General features: G+C 38.7%; 1 protein-coding gene across 7 annotated transcripts in view; it reads right to left on the bottom strand.

Moving 5' to 3' along the window:
- The window catches only part of GRM7 (glutamate metabotropic receptor 7), an 880,419-nt gene that overhangs the window by 261,975 nt on the left and 591,353 nt on the right, over window positions 1–27,091 (bottom strand). For all 7 annotated transcript variants that reach the window (XR_001740135.3, NM_181874.3, NM_000844.4 and 4 more), the window contains exons 6-7: window positions 26,752–26,952; window positions 17,837–17,976 (exon numbers count right to left, since the gene is read on the bottom strand). Coding sequence is in view for 6 of the 7 variants with exons in the window: in NM_181874.3 (NP_870989.1) it covers window positions 17,837–17,976; window positions 26,752–26,952 (341 nt within the window). In the remaining variant the exon portion in view is untranslated. The remainder of the gene's footprint in view (window positions 1–17,836; window positions 17,977–26,751; window positions 26,953–27,091) is intronic.

Below are 27,091 nucleotides of genomic sequence, written 5' to 3'. Positions count from 1 at the left end.
CCTATAGGTTAGACATCAAGCAGGCTCCTTTGGATACTTTAACACAGAAACTCTGGGAGGGAAGTATCTGTAGCAGGTGCTGTCATCTGGCAGGCATTTTCTATACAGGTCAACATACTCAGCATACGTGCTAACGTGGCGCACTCTTTGCCTCTCTGCTTGAGAGTGGTCTCTTGCTATTGTTAGGTATAAGTGCTGGGGAGATAACCTCCAAGGAGTATCCCTCAAACAGTGAGGCATGAGAGTTGTAGATGAGTACCGAAGCTTCCTCACCACCATTTTGAGGCTTTTCTAGACATTCCCTGTGAGTCACCAGTGAGATGTAGCTCTAGATGCCCAGAGTGATAGCCTCCTCATCCCCATGCTCTGTCCTGGCCTCTTTCCCTTTCTTGCCTGACTCGCCTACTCCCTTACATGTTTGCCAGGATCATCTGCCAAATTCTTGCCTTGGAATCTTCTTTTGGGGAAAAGCAGACTAGGACAGTATAAATGTCCCCACTTTACATATGGGTACACTGAGGTCCAGAGACTTCCAAGCCGGACTTCTGAGGCCACACTCTTTCCATCTCTGTACTATAATTGTCTTCTGGTTCTCAGCTTATACTCTTGAGTACTATAAAGTCATGTTTAGAGTGCTCTGGGGACACTGCATAGGGACCAATTAAGAATTAGGGAAGGTTTTATGGAGTCAGTAAAACAAAAGCTAACCCGTCAAAGATGTGCAGGTGACTGCATGCCTGGGGGGAGATGGGCCAAGACAGGAATAATAACTAGTCATGTACACAAGAATGACCTTTGAGTACTAAAATGCCTTCACACTAGTTGATAGCTAGGACTACTCATCCCTCTCCAGTGTTCCCTACTGTTCTACATACCCAACCTTTCCCTGGGATGCCCATGGCCTGCCCATGATCCAGTAACTTATGGGTTAATAAGACAGGAGGCTTCAGGACCCTATTTCATCAAGAGCTGTTGACCATACTCATTGATTGCTCCCTAACTCTCACTGATTATTAAATATTTGAAATGTAATGCTCTTGGCAAAAAGAAAGAGGACTAGCAAAGATATTTGCTGATTAAATTCCATGCTTTTTTCTCTCTCCTTCCTTTGCAAAATGTTCCAGTCGTCTCTCAGCTGAAAAATAAATGTCTACTTGATACGTGGGCCAACATAAATTTTTAATGGCATGAGCAATTACCCAGTGAGTACCTTGCCCATATCACAAGAAGTGATAAAACAGAGCCCAGCGCTCAGTGGGAAAGATTTCCACCTAAGACAGCAAGAACATACGGTTTTTCAACAGGTCAGTGGGTCCCCAGATTTCCCTCCAGTTGGCATGAGAAAGACTAAGCCTGTAAATTCACGGTTCCTGAAATGTGCTGTTAGCATGAGGTTCAGTGAGCAGAAGAAAGAAAAATCCCTATAAGGAAGTCATAATCACCACAGAGAAACAAGGACAGCCAAGTTCATGTTTCAAGCTGGGAGATAGAAGGGTCATTATTGGAGCTTTTAAAAACACCTCTGGTAGAAATTCAAAAAAATCCACTCACATTGATAAAGTTATCTTATTGAACTTGCTCTTCAGGAAGAGCAGGAAGATTGGATCATGATTAAGGACAAAGACAGTGTCACTTATAACCGGTCCTTATAACATGCAATTTCAAAGGGTCTTTGATACCATGCTTTAGAACAGAAATTGACATGGACCAAGGTATGCTGAATACATGCGTGTGTGATTTTACTTTTTAACTGGAGATACAGGCTTCACAAGGAGAGAGGGAAATTAACAATCCCATGAGAAATGGCTAGAAGAAAGGGTACAAAAACATTCAAATGATATTTCAAAAGACATATTTTAAAAAGAAACATATGGTGATGTTTCTTCGCGTTGATCACATCAAAGAGAAACAACAAAAGAATAAAGACGCACATCTCAGAAAGAAACAAAGTGAGATGCAGCCCCAAAGTCTGGTACTTGGTGGAGCCTTCACTCTTGAAGAAGTCACCTAACACAACTAAATCTGTTACCTCTGGTCACATACTCATGAATGTCTTTTTGAAAATAATTATCTTGGGTAGTAATTGATCTCTGCCTATTCATTCTGGAAGCCAGTTTGCGTCAGGGTTGAAGAGCTAAGATTTCTTAAGTATACACCAGAGTTGGGAAGGGTGAGAGAGGTGTGGTTAGTGCTTCCTTAGTATCTGTCTAAAGAAGACTTTAGACAAGATGGAGCTTTAGTAAGATCTAGTAAGACTTTGGTAAGATTGAGCTGTGAGGTCCTGATGAATGAATGCACCCTAGGCAGCTGAGTATCTTGCTCTTTTGAGTGCATTTAAAAAAAAATTCCACCAGAAATGCTTTTGAAATCTCTAATAATGTCTCTTCTCTCTCAACTGTAGTTGCAAAGCTCTCTGGAAAAGAAAAGTTAGTACCAAATAAGAGATTCAAGTTTTTACCACTTTACATTTTCATTTTCAAGCATCAGTTTGATGTCTAACACTTTGCTAGGCCCTGGAAGAGACAGTGCTCTGAAGAGCTTCAGGGAAGTGGTTAAAAAATAATGTTGACCTAGCAAGATGGAAATTTCCACTAAGGGGGTTAAGGAAGAGGCAGTGCTTTTGTGAGTCTTCACAAGTAAGGTGAAATGTGTCCAGTGGCCAGTATTCAGTTTGGTGGTGGAATATTGCATTTCAGATGGTGTGTACAAGACACAGAACTGTCAGACAGAATGTGACAGATTCAAGACAGTCAGAGAGGTCTTTGAGACAGAAGTGTGGGTATGAGCAGCAGAATAAGGGCAGAGAGGTATGAGGAGAAGCAGGAGCTGGGAATGGCCATCTGATTCTGGAAGGAGGGAAAACTGGTGTGAAGTTTTGACATAGAAGAGTGACATGGTCTTATTTGTGTTTCAGAAAAAGTAGCAACAACAATAATAGTAGTCCTAGCAAATATTTATTGTATCAGCCACTGTCCTAGTCACTTTTCTTTTTTTAAATTTTTTCTTATTTTTTGAGGTGGAGTCTCGAACTGTCACCAGGCTGGAGTGAAGTAGTGTGATCTTGGCTCACTGCAACCTCTGCTTCCTGGGTTCAAGCGATTCTCCTGCCTTGGCCTCCCAAGTAGCTAAGACTACAGGCGCTTGCCACCATGCCCAGCTAATTTTTTGTATTTTTAGTAGAGACGGGTTTTCATCATGTTAGCCAGGATGGTCTTGATCTCCTGACCTTGTTATCCTCCCGCTTCAGCCTCCCAAAGTACTGGGATTACAGGCGTGAGCCACGGCGCCCAGCCCCTAGTCACTTTTCGTGTTGTTAACTCTCACAATAATCCTGTGGGTTAGGTCCCAATATTACTCCCATTTTGCAGATGGGGGGATGAAGCCTGGAGAAGGGAAGCAAGTTAACTGGTAGAACCAATAGGTGGTGAAACATGGGATTTAAACCCAGGCAGCCTGCCTCCACAGCCCATGCTTTGTAACACCCCCATATGACCTCTTCTGAAATAAGTGTCAGTCTACACGTGTGAATACTGATCTACTAATTCCTCTCCATTTTTTTCAGAAAATAAAATGTAGGCAAAGAAAGCAGATTTGACTCGGGAAATTTTCACAGAAGGATCAATAGTATTTTCTGTTTTAAAATAATCCTACCAGCCCCATAGTAGCTCCAGATGGTTTTAAAACAAATTTAAATATAGAGCAGAGACCAGTGAAAGAAGGCATTTCAACAGGGTACCTAAATCTTGAATACTCCATGATAGAAATGCCCACAATACCGGATATGCCTAATAAGATGCTTGACAGTGAAATCTGCAAGGCTTCCAGAAAATCTTCAATGGTTTTGCCATAATGTTGTCAGGTAATGACTATAAAGCAAATCAGTTAGTCTTCTGCTCAAGCCTCCTCTCGTTATAGACAATCACCTCAAGTGGTGATGACACTCATTTGTGTAACAATAACAGTGACGAGAAAGTGAAGAGCTATGAATTCCACTCCTTCTCCCCAGACTCCTGACATTGTAATCTGCCATCCTTAATTGAATCCTGTAAACGGCACTTAAAGCCAAGGTGATCTATACTGTTAATGGAAAAAAAAAATAATTATCAGGAAATATGCACACGAATCGGGTAACTGACTACCAACATCAATGATAGCTTCTTATTGAAGCATAAATGATTTCAGGGCAATTTCCAAAAGCCAGTTACCTTTCCAATGCATACCCATCAATGTGTTAAAGCTCGCTTTCAGAGTGTGATTTCAAATGGCAGGCATCAAGTTCCCTGCTAAGATAAAGGTGCTGGTTTCCTATTCAGTCATTGTGAAGGCTCCCTTACAGTATCACCACACAATAAATCAAGAACACATTTGTTATAGATGAGAAACGTAGACTTCTTTGTATTTACCCACTACATCCTTTCTGTCTTCCTTGTTCAAAGCTTGTTACTTCTTTCTCATTGTCATCCTCAGGAAGACTTTTACGTAGGGCAATTGAAAACAGGCCCCTACAACTGAATAGTTGTGTATTTGTTGAGGAGTTTGTAAGGAATCCACACCTATTGGCCAGAAAGCTGTGTTTAAATGTGGGGCTAACTTCAATATACAAGACCAGTCACCACTTTGTATTTAACAATTTACAAAATCATTCCTAAGTATACGACTGGTTATTAGTTCTATCTCTGCCTGCTTTCCTGCAGGCATATAATTGCCTATACATCTTTTAAGGAGCAGCTCTTATTTCACTTACTCTGTAAAATCTTCCCGAAACATTCCCAATTGGTCCCTACTCATGTCCCTAGAATACTGTAAACGTGACATCATGACATTCAAAATTATATGTGAACCCATCTTTTAGCAGGACAGATACTACATTTTAGGCTCCACAATCAGTCAAATGCAAGAGTTTAAGATTTAGCTTAAAAAAAACTCTGATACCACTTTTGTGCTTAGCAAAGGGAAGTTAGCTGTACAGCTGTGCAAAGATTAGCTGGAACTTGTTTCCAGGAATGGGAGACTCATTTATGTATGTGCACAACTGAGGGATCAAGGGGGACTTTTCTCATTTCAGTTGTTTTTGGTGGGGGGTTACTACTCTCAATTGTCAATTTTTTTTTTTTTTTTGAGAAAAGCTATTTGTACACATGATGCCACATAAAATGGTAGAAAGAAAGGTGGACTGATCAAAGCATGCCTAAGAATAGTAGGGTCTACTTGAGAGGACAGGGTATAGGGTAGGGGATTCCAGCTACGGTAATGAGAAAAATGAATTCTTTCAGACTAAAGCCCCTACTTAGGACATGAACACTGTAATTTCAACAGAAGAATGTTGATAGCACCAATTATGGAATTGTCTTGCTTAAGCAACAACAGTATATTAGGATGACATGGAGCTCAGTGGTTGTGCTATTTTGGTTCTGAAAGTTATAGTACAAAAGACAGATAAATTTGACTTTTTATCATGGCCATAAGTGATGACACCAAACAGCCCCTCACTAGGTGTCAGAGAACTCTGTAGAAGCTGACCCTTCACAGAGCTGGTATCATAGATTAAAAGATTCTAACTTGGTCCATATCCTCAGAACAAATCCCCTGCAATCACCCAGCTAAATAGCATGAAGGAAACTAAAACTGTCTGCACTAACAGGATTTTACTATTGTAAGAAATTCTTACCCAAGAAGATAAAGTTACAAATAATTTAATGGTTTGTTGTTGGTCCTGAAAATCCATCTATTTGAATAATCAGTCATGAAAATAAGTTACCATAGGGATAAATAGTCCCTTTTCTGAAATACTGATCACTCAACTGGGCCAAGCTCTCTAATCAAACAATGGTTTACTCAAAACAACTTGTTTCAAAATCCTCTTTGCTGTATTCACCCATACAAAACTATAACATCACAGGCTTTGCACAATTCTGATCAAACTTCCCTCATTGAAAGAAGTGCCTTAATTTAAACCCCCAAATCTTAAAAAATATCTGCCCTTGACCTCCCTTTTCTGAGATGTTACAAAAACTCTGTCAAGGTGTTTCTCTCTCTCTCTCTCTCTCTCTCTCTCTCTCTCTCTCTCTCCCTCTCGTTTTTAAGAGACAGAGTCTTGCTCTGTTGCGTAGGTTGGAGTGCAGCAGTGCAGTCATAGCTCATTGCTTTCTCGAACTCCTGGGCTCAAAGGATCTTCCTGCCCAGCCTCCTGAGTAGCTAGGACTACAAGCATGTGCCATCACACCCATCCATATTTTTATTTTTTTAAAATTTTTGTATAGATGGGGTTTTGCTTTGTTGTCCAGGCTGGTCTCAAACTCCTGGCCCCAAGTGATCCTCCTGCCTTGGCTTCCCAAAGTGCTAGGATTACAGGTGTGAGCCACTACCCTGGGCCTAGTGTTCTCTCTTACTGCAGTAAGCAATCAATGTGACTTTGTTTTATCAATAGGAAAATTTGGTAGCTTTCTCAGGAAGTCAGCAATCGAAAGTCCAAATCCCAAGCTATTAGCTACTGTGTGCTACTGCTTCATTGCCTTTCGCAGCCAGAGAATGTGAGAGCTGGGTATATACCTAGAAGTGGAACTGCTAACTCATGTGGTCACCTTATGTTTACCTTTTTGAGATACTTTTTGAGGAAACGGTCTGCACGTATGCTTTGTCATTGAAAGAGATCTAATGCAACAAAAACAAAATATTGAGGAATCTGGGGACTAAAGGAGGAATAAAAGATCATAAGTGGGGGTAGGGGGATTGAAAAACATTAGTTAGCACGACTAAGTTATTATTCCACTTTAAATGGAAGAAGTAAATGAATTCACATAAGGTGGGATCAGGAAGAGAGATGAGTGAGTAGTGTTACATTGTCCTCCTGATTTTGACCAGATTTCTGGAAGTGGTGAGTTTGTTGCCTCATCTCTCACTACCCTCTTGGGAGCTCTACTCACTTTCAGTGGATGGGGCTATGCCATCTGCAAGGACCCTGAAAAACAGCTGGAGTCAACAGTCCTCTCTCCTCAAGCTCATCTAACTCTCCTATGATGTTAGCATCACTTACTCTTCCTATTAATCTTCCATCTTGCCCTGCTACTCAGTGGGGGATTCTATATGTTTATCGTTGAATCTAGAGTTCTTTCCAAGCTTCCCAGAAATGTGAGAGAGACATTTATCAAACAGACTAGCTCAATTACAGACCAAAAGTGTTTAAGTATAAAACTTAACATTCCTATTTACACATTCATAACATTCCTATTTACACAATTATGTGAACTCTCTTAGTCCATTTTATGTTTCTATAGAGGAATATCTGAGGCTGAGTAATTTATAAATTAGAAAGATTTGGCTCATGATTGTGATATATGGAAAAATCAAGACTGGGCATGTGGCAAGAGCCTCAGGCTGCCTGCACTCATGGCAGAAGGTGATGAGAAGCCAGTGTGTGCAGAGATCACACAGTGAGAGAGGAAGCAAGAGAGAAGGAGAGGGGAGGGAGTTTTTGGGCTTTTTAACACCCAGCTCTTTTGGGAACTAATAGAGCAAAAACTCACTCACCTCCGAGGTAGGGCATGAATCCATTCATGAGGGGTTTGCACCCATGACTCAAACACCTCCCTTTAGGTCCCCCTCCCAACACCACCACACTGGGAATTAAATTGCACCATGAGGTTTGGAGGGGGCAAACATTCAAACGATAGCAGTCCCCATTTAAGAATAATGGGAATTTAATATGGATGTTACAGACTTCCCAGAAAAACAAAGTTATTAAATACAGTAAAGAACTATGGTAGGCAAAATAATCCATTCTTCTCAACTCCCCAGAAAGATGTCTATGTTCTAATTTTTGGAACCTATAAATATGTTACATTATATGGCAAAAGGGACTTTGCAGTTGGAATACGGTTACCTACCTCAAAGTAGAGAGATTATCTTGAATTATCTAGGTGGACCCAATACAATCATATGGGCCTTTCAAAGTGGAAGAGGAAGACAGGAGAATCAATGAAACAAATGCATTGACAGAAAAAAAGGCAGAAGAGACTGGATGCTCAGAGGAACTTGACCTGCCATTGCCAGCTTTGAGGACAGAGGAAAGGGGTCACAGGTCAAGGTGCCAGAAGCTGGGATCCACCCACCACTGTCAGCAGAGAAACAGGGACCTCAGTCCCAAAACCAAACAGGACTAAATTTTTCCAGCAACGTGAATGAGCAGAAATAGATTCTCCCTAAGAAAAGGGAAACAAAGAAAGAAGCATAGCCCTGGTGCCGCCTTGATATTAGTCCTGTGAGACCTATGTTGGACTTCTAACCTAAAGAACTGTGAGATAATAAACTTGTACCATTTTAAGCCACTAAATTAGCGGTAATTTTTTTTTTTACAGCAGCAATAAAAAACTAATACAAGAAACATGACCACAAATATCATATGCATTCTTGTATCAGGGAAGTTTTCACTATTCATTTTCAAAGTGTTCTTATGAGGTGGGTATTTTGCTTGATTTGACTTTATTTTATTTTACTTTTTTTAAATAAAGAAGGGAATTGCGGTTCAGGAATGTTAAATGATTTCCTCAAGCAACAAGCAGAAAAGGCAGGACTCAAACAGGGGCATTCTGACGATGCCCCACTTCATGAGAGTTTCTCCCAATTGGATGGAAGCACTTTAAATCTACTTCCTGTATTTTCATTTGAACATAACCAGGTCATTCTAGAATTTTTTGGCTTCCCAAAGCAAAAAAGTTAGGCAGATCGTACATTAGTTGACTTTCTTTCTTTTCATAATTTTGGTTTGATGATAATGAGTTGAGTCCCTCTTACAAGAGTCCAGCTCTTTAAACTCATTTATCTTGTTGTATTTCTTTTTTCATATATATTTTGCCTGAGCCCAAAATGCAGATAGTAATGGCATTCAACAATTTCCACAGAGAATCTGGAGTCTATTATTAAACATGAAGTGATTTGCTTGAATGCCCAGAATGCAAACAAGAATTTATGGAGGTTTAGGCTCTCTAATGTACATGTTTGTGGAACCATATTGATAATTATAAATATTATTAATCTTGCAGACATTCATAGAAAGAACACAGTTATACACCATTGATTCCTAGGAGAGATGCTGACAAAAGGAAAATCTCTGTTTCTTTAATTTCCAATATGTTTCTGAATACACACAAGTACATGTTTCCACACAAAAGCATTTTCTTTACTAAGGCAGTCCTCTCTTTCAGACTGCATTTATCAACCCTTTTAAGAAAGTATTATTACATATTATGGAATGTTTTGGGATATTAACGGTATTGACATATTATTGCTGATTTTTAGAAACCAATTTCCAGAGACTATCAATAAAAAGTTAAGCATACATTGAAACTAATTTCTGAATTAGTGGAAATAAGTTAGAATCTACTCTAAGTCTAGATTAGGTGAATGAAATAAAATGCTAGTGGGAGTTAGGGGGATTATGTAAGAGAGTGGTAGGAGGAGGGGGATGTGTTGTAACATAGAGAGCGCACACCTTGTATCAAGTGGAAAGCTGCTCCTTTGATTTAGCCAGCTTTTGCTGCATGGGGAGTAAGGACACATCATTGCCAGATCTGATCTTTTAAAGATAAGTCAAAAACATTCTTATGTCATTTCCTGACATTTAAAATATTGGCAAGTAATTAATTTTTGAACCACACCTGCTGTCTGTAATCAGTTTGGGGTCTCGCATCTCAAGTTAACTGACAAATGGGAAGCAGTACTTAATTTTGATTTACAAATCAAAATAACAGTACTATTTTTGATTTATAAATATATTTTGTAAAATATCACAGATTCAGAGATGCTGACAAATAAAAATAACTCTTGTTACTGTGGTGTCAGGTTAAATGCCATCTTTTCAGAGAGACCTTCCTCATCCTGGTTCACAGATATGATCAGAAACAGGCAGGGTGTGATTAGAGACCCAATCCTAAGTCCTTTCCTGTTTTGATGCTTCCTGTAATGTAGCATTAAAGTGTAGAGAAGTAGGTGGCAGATGCAACTAGCTTCAATGGTTTGATGATTAGTTAACTTTAACTTTAGCAAATAAATGGCCAATGATAACTTCAACTTCATTCCTCAAGAGCAGCAATTTCACCTCATGCTCTCAAATAGCCACTGGTAGGTGTCTAAAATAAAAAAATCAACTGAAATAAAACAAAAACTAACTCTTCTATTTCTTTCCCTCCTTTTCTTCTGACTGGCCTTAACATAACAAACACCAAAATCATCTAACTTTGCACTTGGAACAAGCTTACAGAGCACTTAGGGAACCCTTGAGGAACCTATTTGGTAAACCAAGTTCTCAAATGAATCCCTGAATCATGTAGAATTGCTAACTTGGGTAGAAGTCTGGTTGCATCCTCTGATCCATTCATCCAATAGGCACTGGGACGCTAAGTCAACAATGACCTAGTCCCTGTCCTTAAGTAATGTGTATAGTTTAACTGTTGGTCTGTTTACCTAGTTATCCTTTTAATATTTAACAAGCCATTTCTATATGCTCAGCACTACGCTTGGTGCTTGGGGGTGCAGAAAAATAACCCAGCTAAATGCTAGTAATTGACGTTTTGAGCAATTATGGATCATGTGTATTAGTCTGTTTTCACACTGCTCTAAAGAAATACCTGAGAATGGATAATTTATAAAAGAAAGAGGTTTAATTGACTCACAGTTCCACATGGCTAGGGAGGCCTCAGAAAATTCACAGTCGTGAAGGGGTAGCAAGGACCTTCTTTGTATGGTGGCAGGAGAAAGGAGTGAAAGCAGTGGAAATGCCAGACACTTACAAAAGCATCAGATCTCATGAAAACTCACTCACTACCATGAGATCAGCATGTGGGAAACCACCCCAATGACCCAATCACCTCCCTGCCTTGACATGTGGGTATTACAGATGCCCCCTCAACACATGGGGATTATAATTTAAGATGAGATTTGGGTGGGGGCACAGGCAAACCATATCATCATGGGACAAACTAAGGATGTGAAATTATTGTTATTTTTGTTGCTGTTGCGGCTAACATTTGCTGAACATTTACTACATGCCAGACACTGTTTTTAGCATGTTATATATATTATTTATTAATATGTAATGCTAACCATAACTCAGTGAAATAGGTACTACCATAAGCCTGCTTTACAGCTAGTAATGGTAGAACTGAGACTCAGATCCATTTAATCAGTTCAGCTTTAAAGCCTACTGTTCTAATTACTAACAATAAAACTATAAATTACAAGAAAAGAGCTGATAATTATGATGGGCAGAAAGGTGGTTCCACAAAAGAAGCCTTCAAGTTGAAGCTGAAGAAGTACTAGATTTTGACACCTTACATATTTTTCTCTTTGTCAACATTGCCTTGATTGCTGCTATTACATACCTCATGTAATACATTGTAAATTATGAGTATAATAAGATTTCTAAAACATTTTTACTGTTGTAATTATGAAACAATAGAGTGATTAGCAGTTTTATAGGCAGGTATAAGTCCATATTGATTTGGAAACATTTAATTGTATTAAACAGATTTTGGCAATCAACTGCTTTTCTTATGTCTTAGGTGTCTGTGACAGCCAAAATTCTAATAAGTGTGAAAGATTCAATATGGAACAAACATTACAACTTTTGAAATTAATTTGAATCACCTCAGTTTAATAAAATCTAAAAAATTTCTGCTTAATAATGGATGGCTGATTTTTTTTTCTTTTCCATCCTGGGCACACTAAAACAAAAACCAATTCTTTTTTCTTTTTTTCCATTTTTGATTACTATGGTGAATAAGATTGTAAAGAAAGAGTATGTTACATAAATTGTCTTAATTTATTGATAACTAAACAATCCAGAGAGCATTATAAATGGCTTGTGGTAAGGATTTCCTAGGGCACAAACAATATGACCTAGATCTAGTTTTTCTTTTCAAGTTTTGAGTTCTCTTCCCTGAAGCTCCTACATGGTGGCCTCAGAATGACTCCCTAGGAAGCAACCGCCTCCAAGAAGAGCATGTTGATGTCTCAGATTGGCCAGCAGACATCCAGTGATGTCTTGATTAGGGAGACGTAGTACGGGTACCCATCCCTATCACTATGGCTACAGTGATTGGCTTAAACTGAATTACTTGACTTTCCTGGACTTGGGAAACACCCAGGGCAAACCACATGGCTAAAAAGGAAAACTTGGCGCCCGGCGTGGTGGCTCACGCCTGTAATCCCAGCACTTTGGGAGGCTCAGGCGGACTGATTACAAGGTCAGCAGATCAAGACCATCCTGGCTAACACAGTGAAACCCCATCTCTACTAAAAATACAAAAAATTAGCTGGGTGTGGTGGCACGTGCCTGTAGTCCCAGATACTCAGGAGGCTGAGGCATGAGAGTCGTTTGAACCTGGGAGGCGGAGGTTGCAGTGAGCCAAGATCGCGCCACTGCACTCCAGCCCGGGCGACAGAGCGACTCCGTCTCAAAAAACAAGAAAGAGAAACTTGTGTGCCCTTCTCAGAAGGAGGAAGAGGGACTAATGGCTGCAGATAACGTCCATCATTTTAAAAAGTACAGGTTCATTATACATGATTTTATATATTAACAAAAAAATAACAAATGCCTGCTGTGTGCTAGGTACCCTGTTTACAGGCATCCAAGCAATGACTAAAACATGGATTCTACCTTCAAGGAGTTTTTAGTCTATAGGTGTGAAGTGTAAGTTTTAACAGAGAAAACAAATCACCAGAAAAAGTCAAGAAACCCCATATACCTCAGAAGATCAGAAAGTTGGTCTATCGTAACCAATGGCAGAAAATTGAGGTTTGTAGAACTTCAGTTATCCAGAAAAGAGGAAATAATATTCATTCAGTCTTCTATTTAAGAGAATATGCAGTTCACTGTAGGAAGCTGCTATTAAGAATAGTTCCTTTCTAAAAATGCTTTAATTGACATTTTGGCATATTAGAGAATTTTGGTTATCTGGAAAATTAACATTTTTAACATTTCTGAACTTCCTAATTTCAGATAAAAGATGACAAAGTAACCATCATGGTTTCTATCACACATAATATATTTTACTTACAACATCGATTTAGAATTTTTTAAGCATCCACATTCCATTTCTTGCCTTTTTCAGAAATATACTCCTACCCTAATTTTTAAATATTACTGCATTATTTATTCTAAAGCAATTCTTTTCCACTTCCTCTTGGGAACTACTACTTAACCTTCAAAAGATCCAGTTCGAATATAACTTTGTGGTGGGTGTCTCTAAACCAGTGCCTGTCTGTAGCCCTAAAATGCCATATATCTACTACAGAGCCCTTACCCTACCTAGACTGTGAACTTGGGGTGCATGGATCTGCCTCTTGTTTATTCTAATATCTCCATGAGCTATCACCTCTCCTGACACACTGCACATAGACAATCATGTTTGTTGCATTGTCCCTTCTTCTCTCCCCCAGGAAGAGTATTTCATAAAGTTTCTTGGTAGAATAGAAACCTAAGAAATTAAATTAGGGTTGTTTCTGTAGAGGTTACAATCAGAAGAGTGAATGGTTTTGTTGGTTATGATTCCCTTCCACAGAATTCTTGTTCAGCAGAAATATCCTGGTAGCTAACCATGCAGTCATCTCTTGGGCCACAGAGGAGACAGAGTGTAGTGAGGGTACATGAGACATTTTACCGCAGACAGCACACTGCTAAGCACTTAAATTCCAGAAATTGCACAGGGAACAGCAGAGCAGTCTGATCTACAGAGCTGGGATTCTAAAAACCTAAAACTCTGATTTCTTGGCTCAGAAATTCATTTGCAATTACTGACCACAGAGAAAGCCGCCCTCGAAAATTTCATTTGCTTGAGATGATGTAACTGAGAATTGAAAAAGTACCCATGAATCTTTGTGAGGAGACATACACTTTTTACTTGAAATACTTTATTTTGTTCCATTGACTAGAGGAAAGCAAACCTACAAAACCGTTTGCCCAAATTCCACTCTCACAGAACATTTAATAGAATAATTACAGCAAAAGGAACTTCAAGGGCAGGATGATGTTGGAGAGAAACCAATCATTGGATAGGGCAACTGGGCTGTGGCTCTGGGAACCCAGGTGAGAGGGGTAGGGTGCCTCTGGGTACTCTACTTAACTTTTATTTTCTTTTTTAATCCCCCTGAACACAATTCAAATTAAATCTCACAATAAAAGGTGTCAACAGGGTGACATCCTACCAAGTCCCGTTATCTCAGTAGCCACACTAATTGAATTAAACCCAGCCTCTTTTCCCCCTAAAAATGACTCCCTTCATGGTTGTCATTCGCTCTTTTAGGTCCCATGCAATACCAAGTATAAACTACTGCATCCACCTGAGCGTGCCTGTTTTTCCTAACACATCACTCTTAGCATGACAAAGTAGAATAAAGAATGCTCCCACTTAGTTCCAAGCCAAGAACAAACCCCTGATTTAGCTAGCATAAACTCAAACAAAAATCGAAAGTATATGGTTAGCCCAATTCTCTGGACAAATTAAACAGAATATTTTAAACTGAGTGCTATTTGGAGTAGACGGAATGGAATTGTGTCATTTTCTTTTCTGAGACAGAGTCTCGCACTCTCGCCAGGGCTGGAGTGCAGTGGCATGATCTCGGCTCACTGCAACCTCCGCCTCCTGGGTTCAAGCGATTATCCTGCCTCAGCCTCCCAAGTAGTTGGGATTACAGGTGTGCGCCACCATGCTCAGTTAATTTTTTTTTTTTTTTTTTTGAGACAGAGTCTTGCTCTGTCACCCAGGCTGGAGTGCAGTGGCACAATCTTGGCTCACTGTAAGCTCCACCTCCTGGGTTCATGCCATTCTCCTGCCTCAGCCTCCCGAGTAGCTGGGACTACAGGCGCCCGCCACCATGCCCGGCTAATTTTTTTGTATTTTTAGAGACGGGGTTTCACAGTGTTAGCCAGGATGGTCTTGATCTCCTGACCTCGTGATCTGCCCACCTCAGCCTCCCAAAGTGCTGGGATTACAGGCATGAGCCACTGCACCTGGCTGGAATTGTGTCATTTTCTAGGAGGTTTTCAAGGCCTTGGGTTCTCTGCTCTTCTCTTATCTCTCTTTGTAATGAATTTAAAGACCATTTATAGGTTGTTTACATTGTTTTATAATTATGATTCACAACTGTTGTCTGAGCTTCAGACCTATACCCATTTCATTTTGGCTGTAGTATATTTAAGAAGTCTCACATATATAATAATCCCAATTGGGATTCTTGATTTTCTCCCTTCTACTCCCAGCTGCCTCCCTCATCTCATGTGTTGCCATCATCCACACAGTGCCTCACGTTACATATGTATCCCATTCATTTGGCTTCATCTTCACTATCACACATGTCCCTGAGCCAGTGGTTCTCAAAGTGTCATCAACATTGCCCAATGACTTCTGATAAAAAGCAAATATTGAGGCTTCCCGCACCTCTAGTTCTTCTGAATCAGGTTATCTGAGAGCAGGGCCCGGTAATATGTGCTGTTACAAGCCCTCCAGATGGCTCTGAGGCACACTGAAGTTTGAGAACCACCTCACTTAGCTCCCCTATTCTAGCTAGACACCTGCAAAAGAATCATAATTGGTCTTTCTGCTGCTACTTTTGCCCCCTCCATTATCTTCCCAGCAGCCAAAGTAATTTTATTCCTAAATCTGATGCAGCCACTCCCTCACTTCCTTGCTTAGTACTTCTTAGTGGCTTTTAAATGCACTCAGAATAAAATGTTTAAAATGTATCATGACATACAAGGGGTTGCATGAGTATGGCTCTTACCTATTGCTCCAACATCTCCTCTTACCCTTCCTCTCATTTTCCTTGCTGATTAAATCATCATCACATCAGCCATCTGACCTGCTGGTCACTCTAGTTTTCACTTTGCTGGCTTCTCTTGTAGTAGGTCCTTCCTTTTCTACCTCCATTATCCTCTCTACCACCTTTTCCATTATCACACCTCAGAATTTCCATGTACATATCTGTTTGCTGAGTACCATGTAACTCCATCCTAGATGCTGAATTGTGAAAGAACAGGGACCACATTTGTTTCACCTCCACTGTGTACCTACACATTGACTCTTGCAGTGCTTCTAACTTGATAGGTATTTAAAACCAAAACCAAACAAACAACAAAAACTTGTTGAATAGCTAATCAAATGCAGTTCTTACAAAGGATAAAATACAAACCAAACAAATAAAAATAAAATCAGTGTTAATGTTTGTTCTTAAAATAGTGTGCTTAAGAACCCCCATGTAAGACCCCATCTGAAGTTGGTGAATGCTACTTGGGAACTCTTACGGATATTGGACAAATTATATGTGCCAGAAATTTAACAAGAGTGCAGGGTTTATGCTGGAAAAGATTAATGAACCTATTTAATCCACTGGATCTTACAATAAGCCCTGAGCACTTCACCTATGTACCATAGACCTTGATTCTCTTACCTTTATTTGAGGCTGACCCATCTTCATATCACATGGCAGCACCCAGTAAAAACACACTTTGAGTGTGTCATCCAGGTTATACTGCTTTGATTCTGCTTTTGATTACTACTCCCCCACCTTGAGTTTACCTTTTAGGTTTTTGTTTGTGTTGTTTTTATTTTCTCCTTTCACTTGCAAGTTTAGTGTGCCTTGGATTCAGAATAATCTTAGCTTCTTTTTTGATCTTGGCCGTTTGCATTTATATAAGCCATGGACGGTACCTGTTGATTCCAACCATTCCCAAATGCCAGAGCATAATCTTTTGGACCCAATTTTAGTGCCAGTTCATGTGTATGGTGCACCTCACAATGGGGAGAACTGGACAGGTGCAAGCAGATCTAGGCTAAGGCTCTGTGCAAATGAGGTAACTGGCCTGTAGTGGCTTCACGGCTCCCTATGTGAATAACCCTTTCTTCATAGAAACCATGACATAACCTTCCACTTCCCAAGAAATGGATTTGCTTCCCACACCCAAGAAGCCTTGTTCTCAATAATTCCAAAAGTGCCTCCTAAGGTATAGATTAATAAAGGCTAATGGCATAATTTGTTGCTTTACAAAGGACATTAAAGGATTTTTCTAGGAGAGAGACTGTGATGGTTAATCTCATATTCTACTTTGCCATGCAGTGCCCTGATAGTTGGTCGAATATTCTAGGTGTGTCTGTGAGGTTTCTGGATTAGATGAACATTTGAATCAGTGGGTGAGTAAAGTAAATTGCCCTCCCCAATGTGGATGAGTCTTACCCAATTATTTCAAGGCCTAAATAGAACAAAAAGGCTAAGAGAGAATTTTTGGATTGTTTTGGAGCTGGGACATTGGCTGATGGATTTGACATAATCTTGTGAAGGAAAGTGGCTGCTTACTTAGGTCACATTTTATAGAAAGTGGGAGAGGTTACAGAAATGGAAGCACTGCAATTACTCAGATAATCCCATTACAAATCTCACATAAATACACTCAAATGTCTCAAAATAATAATAAAAATATCAGTACCATCAAATAAAGAAGAAAAAGGAAGGAATGGGGGGAGGCAGAAGAAATAAAAAGTTTAACCAAGAGAAGGATCTTGTGAAATTGCTAAGTAGTAACCTGTTTGCTAAGTAACCCCAGTCTCAGATTAAATGAGATAATTCGCACAGGTCATGAATATAATGCACAAAACTCAATGCACATTTCCCATCATCGTCATCACCATCATTATTATTGGATATCAGTTCCTGCTGATGCCCACAACAAATTGCATGCTCACTTGTATATGCACACAAACATTAAACAAGAAACATTTGTATAACTGAGCAAATTAAAAGTCTGTTCATTCATCTCAACAAGGGAAGAAGAGAAGCAAGCAGAACTCACATTGAGCTGAAGTTCGTCTGTCCACTGCCCGATCAGACGGTAACCCGGGTTGCTGGTGTTTGTGGTCTGGTACTGAAAGATGTCATAACGCCCAGGTGCATCCCCGTTCTTGTTAAACATCACTGGAGTGCCAGCACTACCTAAGGAAGACAGAAAAAATGAAAGATTCTAAAGTTAAACAAGATTCCTTATATCTCTTGTACTATGGGTGACAGGCTAGAGACTTAACGAGGAGAAAGGTAGTTACTAGATATCCCCTTTAATAGGTCCCCCCAAAACGGCCCCTGCAATTCATAGGCAAGTTATCACTATGGCCTATGAATTTTAATTATAGAAGGTGGAAGACTACTTCCCCTTTTGAATAGTTTCACTGTTTCTCAATATTTCTTAAAATTTTATTCTAGTATTTTCCCCTTTCTGAGGAATAAAACCTATATGCATTAATTTTAAGAGACAGCCTTAAGTTTTATTATGCTCCTGATGATGATGCTTTTAACTATTATTTTAGTTTCCATCTAACACTAAATTTTCGTCAGTAAAGAACAATTTCAAAAACAACAAATTAATGTTAAAAGAGAAATGCAATTTAGAAAACAAGAAGTAAATAAGAAAAATGTATTTAAATGTACTTTTCTACTCATTGTATTTAAAATGTTTTTGCTGGTTATTTCTAATTTATATCATAAGCAGGTAAAAGGTTTAGCAGTGTATTTGTCAGGTATTCAGTAAATATTGGTTTCTTTCTCAATCTCTCATTTGGATCTTCCTAAAATGTCTATCTTAAGACACAACCAATTATTCTGGCAGAATTAGACTTTGGAGTGAATTTTAAAGAACGAATATATTTATTAAGCGTATATACCTATATCTATATCTGTATCTATCTGTCCATACTTAATATATAACTGTGTATGGTTGGATGAGTAAAGAATCCTTAATATTAACCACATAGAACAACTGGAAAACTATGTACAAATAATGCAAGACATGAGTTTTTGTTAGTTTCAGCAATAGTTACAAACGAATCACAAAACATTCAGTAACTGAGTTCTGTTTATTTCATGATCCTCTGGATCTAGGAAAAAATACCACTGGCCACATGATAATATGATATATGACTGCTATCTGTCTATAGGCTAATACTGGACCAATATTCCCAGCGGAAAACAATGCTCTATTTCATGCCATTTACAAACTCAAATGGTGCTTTGGCCACACACAGATTCAGCCATTGACCCAAATTGATGGCACCAAAGCAATGCTGCTCTGAGAATATCAGTACCCTCTCCCAATGTGAGCCCCAGCTTGCTGTTTGGAAAATAAAAAAAAAAATTGTTTATAGTGACAGAGAAATTAAAATTAGATATCAGTTAGAAGAGGGCAACTTTGGTGCAATGAAAAATACATTTGTCTGGGGAGCTGAAAGCATTGTTAAGTCTGGTTTTGAGGTATAAGCAAATAAAACAATGATAAAAACTATAAAAAATCATTACCATCTATTGAACACATATTTTAGCGTCATTCTTGTGTTGAGTTAGTTGTTTGTGTGGGGACGTTCTCAACATCATGGCTGCTTCCTCAAGGTTTGGCATCTTTTTTTTTTTTTTTTTTTTTTTTTTTTTTACTATTTTAAGCATACTTTTCCCTGTCTGGTTAAGATGCTGTCATAACTCTCATTTGAATATGAATATTCAAATTGCCTCGGTATCCATCTCATCCTGTCTCTGTCTTGTCACTCTTGATCTATGTATTTGAAGGCAGTCTTCATCCATTTCCTGTTTTTGGGTTCTAGACAAACAAGGCTGTATAACCTGAACCACTTGAGTGGCTTACTCTGCTCCTGGAACTACCAAGAACGGGCTTACTGAGTTCCCTTGCTTATACTCACACACTCTTCAAGTTAACAAATCCAACTCTGTCACAGGAAACATATCCAGGTAATGCCCTGATACGGTTTGGCTGTTTCCCCACTCAAATCTCATCTTGAATTGTAGCTCCCATAATTCCTATGTGTTGTGGGAGGGACCCAGTGGGACATAATTGAATCATGCGGGCAGTTTCCCCCATACTGTTCTTGTGGTAGTGAATGAGTCTCACCAGATCTGATGTCTTTAAAAGGGGTTTCCCCTTTCACTTGGCTCTCATTCTCTTTTGCCCGCCACCATGTAAAGACGTGCCTTTTGTCTTCCACCCTAATTGTGAGGCTTCCCCAGCCTCATGGAACTGTGAGTCCATTAAACCCCCTTTTCTTTATAAATTACCCAGTATTAGGCAAGTCTTTATCAGCAGTGCAGCAGTGTGAAAATGGATTAATACATGCCCTGAACCCCAATAAAGGCTTTGGCACACTGGCTCCTTCCTCCCTCTCTGCTCCCCACCTGCTGGTTAAGTGTTCATACTTAACTGGTATCTAATTTAAATTTCTCCATCACTATAAACATTTTTTTAATTTTCCAAACAGCAAGCTGGAGCTCTGGGAGTGGACACCGATCTCCTGTGAGCAACACTGCTTTGGTCCCACCAATTTGAGTCAACAGCTGAATCTGTGTGTGGCCAAAGCACCATTTCAATTTGTTTTTTTCTGTCTTTTACCTAGACACTACCCCCATAGACCACAAAGGCACCCACTTTATCATAATAGGGATCTCTTAAGCCTGCTGTGTGTAAGAATCAACACAAGTCTTTCCAGTATAGGAAGAAAATAATGACAACAAAAACATCAATAACAACAAAAGATTTTTAATATTGGCTTTCTGATTTCAACAAGTCTTGCGAGCATATAAGAAGAAGAAATAAAATCTGGATTTCACATGTTATTAGCAAAGAAATGAGAATCCTGTCAGTTTGCATGAAGACATTATTATTGAGATACTCACCTTTTTCTTTCACATTGGATACTAGCATTCATGTGCTTTACTGTAATTCTATAGCTTCTATTCATTAAACAACATGATTTGAGATTTTCATAGTCTTTGAGAGGAGAAAGGAAGAATATGGGAGGCCTGGGGCTCCAGAGGAACTCAAGTGCACCAGCTACATATTCATCAGAATGGGCCCCATCACCTAATCTTTTTCCCTTCTTGCAATCTTAGTTAGAAGAAACGGTCTTGTCACGCCCTTTCCATTCTCATTAAAGTTCCGGTTTTAAAAAAATTAAGGCAGAAGAGCTGCATACTTTATCTAAGTGATGACTTGTAATAGCACATTGTGTGGGTTTGGCCTTTTTGATGGATTCTCTAATGCAGCTGTCTTATTATTTCCAGTTTTTAATCCCCACATCTCCTTTTTAACAGCATCCATGAACTTCTTAAAACAGAATAAGAAGCATTGTGTTCAATGAACTCTATATTTTAAAAAAGTCCAGAGGAGATAAAGAATTCACCAAAGGGGAAATGATTCCCCACAGAGATGCCCACAAGGCATTAGAGCCAAGATGCAGGTACACTAGGGCAAAAGAAATAGGGTCACCTGACAAGATGGGTAACAGACAGTAAAGGACAGATAACAGATTGTACTGAAGCCCGAAATCTCCCCTACTGGATGAGAGTATCTGAGTTTCTTTCTTCTTGGACAGAGAAGGAATAGAGATTCAGATAGCCCAGATAATAAACCAGTCTTCTGCATCAACGTATTTACTAGACACATTTTCTGTTCTCATTTTACCACGCCATGCACAGATTCCAGGAACGTTGCATTTGTTCGGGTTCCTGATATCTCTTTCTGCCCAAGAAACCACTCTGAATATTAGTACTCAAAACAGTGGCAACATATATTTTGTAATTTGGTCAGAGCTCTGTGGGGACAGCAGCTCTCTGGTCCACTCATGTCAGCTGGGGCAATTCGAGGCTCTCATGTCTGACAGTTGATATTGGCTAACCGGTGGGATACTCAACTGGGGTTGTAGCCAGAATATGTGGCTACATGTGGCCCATCAGTGGGGCATCTAAGCTTCTTCCCAGCATGGTAGCCATGCTTATAGTCCAAATGTTCTAACAAAACTAGACAAAAACATTTTGCCTTAGAAGTCACAGTGCTACTTCCAAATTAGTCACAGGCTCACTCAAAGGGAGGAAAAATAAATCTCACCTCTTGATGAAGGAAAGCTAACATCATATTGCAAAAAAAGCATGTGAGATCTGCCATCTCTACAAAATATAACCTACTCCAATTTGTTTTCTAGAAACTAGTAAATTGAAGTACAGACATGCTTCAGATGAAATCCTTCTTTCTATAGCTATTATTTGAGATTTTACAATCAAGACACCAAATTACTTAAATTTATATTTGATGGGCCAACATAAAGATAACTAAAATGAATTTAGGCTTGGGACTTTGCTTTGATTTGGGATGCAGGAAAAATATCTAGGCATGATAAAAACTAAATTACCCATTTCTTTCCTCAATGCATAAGAGGAGGCTAAATACTTGATGAAACTGTATCAATGCCTTTAGGGTACGATATTATCATTTCTTAAATTGCTACTTTGGCAAATGTGAAGACCAGAATTATTAAATTATACTCTGCTATCTGGAACAGAACTCCTACCTATACAGCAAATTTTGTACTAATGTAACAGTGAAACATAATCTCAAGCTTCTTGAAACAAAGAAAAATCAATATCCTCCTAAAACATGCGATATAAAGTTTAAATTTTTCACAATGGATTGGAAAAAGACTTGAGTTCTAGATCTGTCTCTGTCCTTTGCTAGCTATGGAGTCTTGGACAAATATTTTCTTTTCTCTAGGATTTGATTTTTTAACCGAAAGTCAGAAAATTGAATGAGTAAAACATGTCAAGTTTTTTTCCCCTCTAAGCTTTGCTCCCGTAAAGTGACATAGGACCCACTGATTAAATTTAGCACAGCTTCTTTGCTTTACAAAACTTTTGAGCACTGTCATCCATGAATACTGCAGTGTCTTGGGAGCCAGAAGTCTCTGAGCTGTCATATGGAAGAAAAATATATCCTCAGAGAAAGAAGATTTTGTTGACCATAGAGTGTGATTACAATGATGACAAAAAAAAAAAGAGAGAGAGAAAATTAGCCCTTCCTGAAATTCCCATGCAACCTCAGATCTAAGAGGAGGCAGCAGGAATGATGCAGGAAGCCCTTCCTCTCAGCAACTTGAAGAATAACATTCCAGGAAGCAGATTGTGGACTTAGTTGTCCTGTGTCTCAAGTATAACATCATCGCTACCTAGCTGTATGGATTTGAATATCGTAATTCTTAAATTCCCCATGAATCAGTTTCCTTATCTGTTAAAAAAAAAAAGGAAAAAAAAATAGCATCCTAAACCATTATGAGGTTTTAAAGATAAAATAAGCCAATGCATAAAATGTTTAGCAGTTTCTGGCACACAATAACCACTTAATAAACATAAGCCCTATGGATAGCTCAGTCATTTTGGCTTGTCAACAGACAAGACCATCTAGACAAAATGGTCTATAATCATTCTCTAAAAGAAGAATCAGGGAAGAACCATCAAGAAAACTCACCTAACAAATTTTATTTTTGTCGCTAGTGTAAGAATGTTCATACATATCCATGAACCAGAATAAAAAATCCAGAAACTGACCTCAGCAAATGAAATATGATGCTTGAAAAAAATAAAATTTATATTGTTTGACTCTGGGAAAATTGGTTATACAAGTATTAGGAAATTCTGCAACATCAAGAAAAAAATACAGAAAGAACATAACTTGTAGTTGACCTTCTTTCTCTCCATCAAAATTAGGAAACTAATGATCCCCATATTGAATGTGGTGCCTCTTCATTCAGATACTAGGCAACTCCTGAAGATTGATACAATGTTGTGCGTTTTAAATGAGTTGTTATTAAGAGAAAAAAGTAAAGAGTTTTTTAAAATCATACTATATCTAAACCAGTAAGTTAACACTGATGGAATGCTACTAAAATTAATCTGTAAATGTTATTAAAATTCCTCCACCTTCCCATTAGTGTTTTTTCTAGCATAAGATTAATCAGTATTTCCCCATTACATTTGACAGTAGTACTTCCTTGGTCTCTTTGAGTCAGAAACAGTTCCTTTATCTATTATTCTCATGACCTGGACACTTTTGAAAAGTACTTGCCAGTGATTTTATAGAACATCTTTTAATTTGGATTTGTTTGATGTTTCCTTAAAATTAGATTTAAGGTAGGCTTTTTGGCAGTAAAACCTCAGAAGCGATGCTGTAAGCATGCCAGTGTATCATATCAAAAGGCACACAATGTTCATGAGTCTCATAAGTGATGATGTCCACCTTGATTACCTCTTTTACGTGCTATCTCCCAGTTTTCTCCACCACAGAGCTACTATTTTGTTTTTGGTTATTCATATGTATCTTGGTGAAAGGTACTTTGAGGGCTATGCAAATATCTTGTTTCTCATCATACTGTAACCCAATACTTTTAGCATCCCATGATTCTTGCCTAAAAAAATTACTACTTAGGTCTTTACAAAAGGGCGACTTTGTATTTCCATCTTAACTTTATTCCATCATGCTGCCTATTCTCTTGTATTTGTTTAATTAGTTCAAGTGTTTACTGATATCAGTATGGACTCATGGTTATTTATTTTATGAGTTATAATCCACTGGGGTCCCAGAGTTGGCCAATGGGATCTCTTCCAATTTGGTTTCTGTGCCCTTTCAACATGACCACTTCAGTTTTTGAGAACTTTCTTATATTCTGGTACAGCATGTCTCCAGCTTATATTGGACTTTCCCTGCCCTAGCCCTGGTCCCAACCATTTTCTAAGGGTTCTTTTAACCTTTTTAATTTAACAATGGTATTTATAAATAAGATATGTGTGCTACATGTGCTCATTTTTACCAGTGTACCATTGCTCTCAGGCCCTCTCAGGGAACAGAGCCAGGCAGAATTGGTATATATAATATACATGTAAAATTTACTTCTATATTTACCCATTGCATGTATATTAAAAACCATACATATTGTAATCCAACACAACAGGGTTCATTCTATATTTCTCTCATTCCTTGTTAGGGATTTTTATCTTGGATAATGAGAAACCTGGCTCTCATTATCCGCAATATATATAATTATTTTCTCAGTCCCATTATATACATAGATTAGCTTCAGAATTGTGAGAAAAATACAGATTTACTAGATATTGTCTAATATATGTGTACAGTTATTTTGTCTTCAGCCTTATATAGTCAGATACTATTTTCCAAAATTACTTGCATTCATTATTTCTTCCTCACCCTCCTTCACTTCAGTTACACAATTTGTTTATAATATAATTATGATTATTTGTTACTGTCTGTGTTGAATGTTGCATTGCTCATACATTCAAGTTTACTTATTTAGCTGTTGGCATGTGAAACATTAAGATGTTGTAAGAGTTGAGACTATTCAAACAGACATTATCAGAGTGTGCTTTCTCCTATGTCTTTTATCCTATTGGCCCATTTTTTCACTTATCTCTACCCACCTCTTTTAGGAAACCTATCAATTTATAAAAGAGTTTTGTACTTTGAGAAATATGTTTAAAACTTGAAATATGGTTGATGTGGCAAATTACAAATATTATCCCAATTAACTTGAGTATTGTGATGTTAGTTTATGAGAGAGAGAGAGAGAGAGAGAGAGAGAGAGAGAGAGAGTGTGTGTGTAGCTTTTCATGTATGGTTCTTGGCTCATAATTACCATAGCCCTTGTTATAATGTTGGGGCACTTTAGGCCTCAGAAAACAATTTCTCTTTCTGACCTTACCCTGCCCTCCTTTTACCAGCCCAAGGCAGCATTCTAACCTTCCTCCACCTTTTTGTTAATACGCTATCAGCCCGTCATTTTAGAAGGGTCCTGCCCCATATCCTGGAGGAAGAAATGTTGCACAGATAGACCAAGAAGGATCTGGACAGACAGGCCTCACCAGGTATTCCCGCTTAGCCTATTAGTATTAGATTATACCCTTTGTGTACAGTCACATTTCTTCGTGGTTGTCGATCATGCCTATTCCAATGAAATCTTCATAAAAGGCCCAAGAGGACAAGGTTCAGAGTTGAACACATGGAGGCTGACAGGAAAGTGAGCAAGAACTCATCTTTGTGCAGGGGAGGCCAGCACACCCCAAATCCCTGAGGACAGAAACTCCTACTCTCAGGACCCTTTCAGACTTTGCCCTAGGATCTCTTCATCTGGAGGTTTATTTGTGTCCTTTAAAATACCTTTTGTAATAAATTTAAGTAAGTGTTTTACTGAGTTTTGTGAGTTGCTCTAGCAAATTAATCAAACCTGAGGAGGAGATTGTGAAAATTCCAGTTTATAGCCGGACCATCAGAAGCCCAGACAAAACAACCTAGGGTTTGCCACTGTCATTGCAAGTGGCAAGGGGAAGAGTCTTGGGAACTAAGCCTCCAACTTGTGGGGTTTCACAGCATGCCAGATAGATCATGTAGGAATTGAAGTAGAGGACAGTCAGCTTGTGTCCACTGCAGAATTTATTGCTAGCTTGGTGTGTGGGGGAAACCTCTCCACTGACATTTGGTCACAGAAGTCTTCTGTGTGAATTCCTGTTGTGGTATGAGAGCAGAGGAAAAATGACTTCAGTTTTTCCATATTCAGAGGTACCTACAGCAACTGCTCCTTTCCCTTCCTCTTCCATCCTATACCCACCTAAATTCACCAAAGAAGAATTTGGCATAGTGCAAAAAAAAAAAAAAAATCTCTATTTCAAGAAAATGAGACCAAACCATAACCCCCAAATATATCTTAACTCATTCTTACATTCATTTGCTCATTCATGCATTGATTCAATCATTTAAAGTTTTATAATCAAGCAAGTTTTGACACATATTTTAAAGTAAATAATAATAGACATTTAAAACTTATGAAACAGAATGCCAACACTTAGGATTCCAAAAAGGATGGATTTTTGGAGACTCACCATTGAAATTAACATTGCGTATATACTTCAGCAACTTCTTGCCTCCAGCTTGCTCCATCTCTGGGCAGACACCCCGGTAGTCAGCACAGAGATCCTTGTTCATGTGGTGAAGGGCGTGAGCCATAGCATAGACTGCGTCAATCACGAACTGGACTTTACCCTCCTGCTCATAGTTGGAATCTTTTCCAATTCTCTCCTGTCCTGCACATTAAAACAAGAAACACACACACACACACACACACACACACAAATTGGCATTGAGTAGAATGTCCAAATTTAAAAGTAAACTTTCAATTATGCTTAAAGAAAACACTGCTTCGATAAATACAGTAATTCAAGC

This window comes from Homo sapiens, chromosome 3 (genome assembly GCF_000001405.40).
Source record: "Homo sapiens chromosome 3, GRCh38.p14 Primary Assembly".
Taxonomy (NCBI): Eukaryota; Metazoa; Chordata; class Mammalia; order Primates; family Hominidae; genus Homo; species Homo sapiens.
The sequence above is the reverse complement of the archived record's forward strand: the minus strand, read 5'-3'. Positions and strand labels throughout refer to the sequence as shown.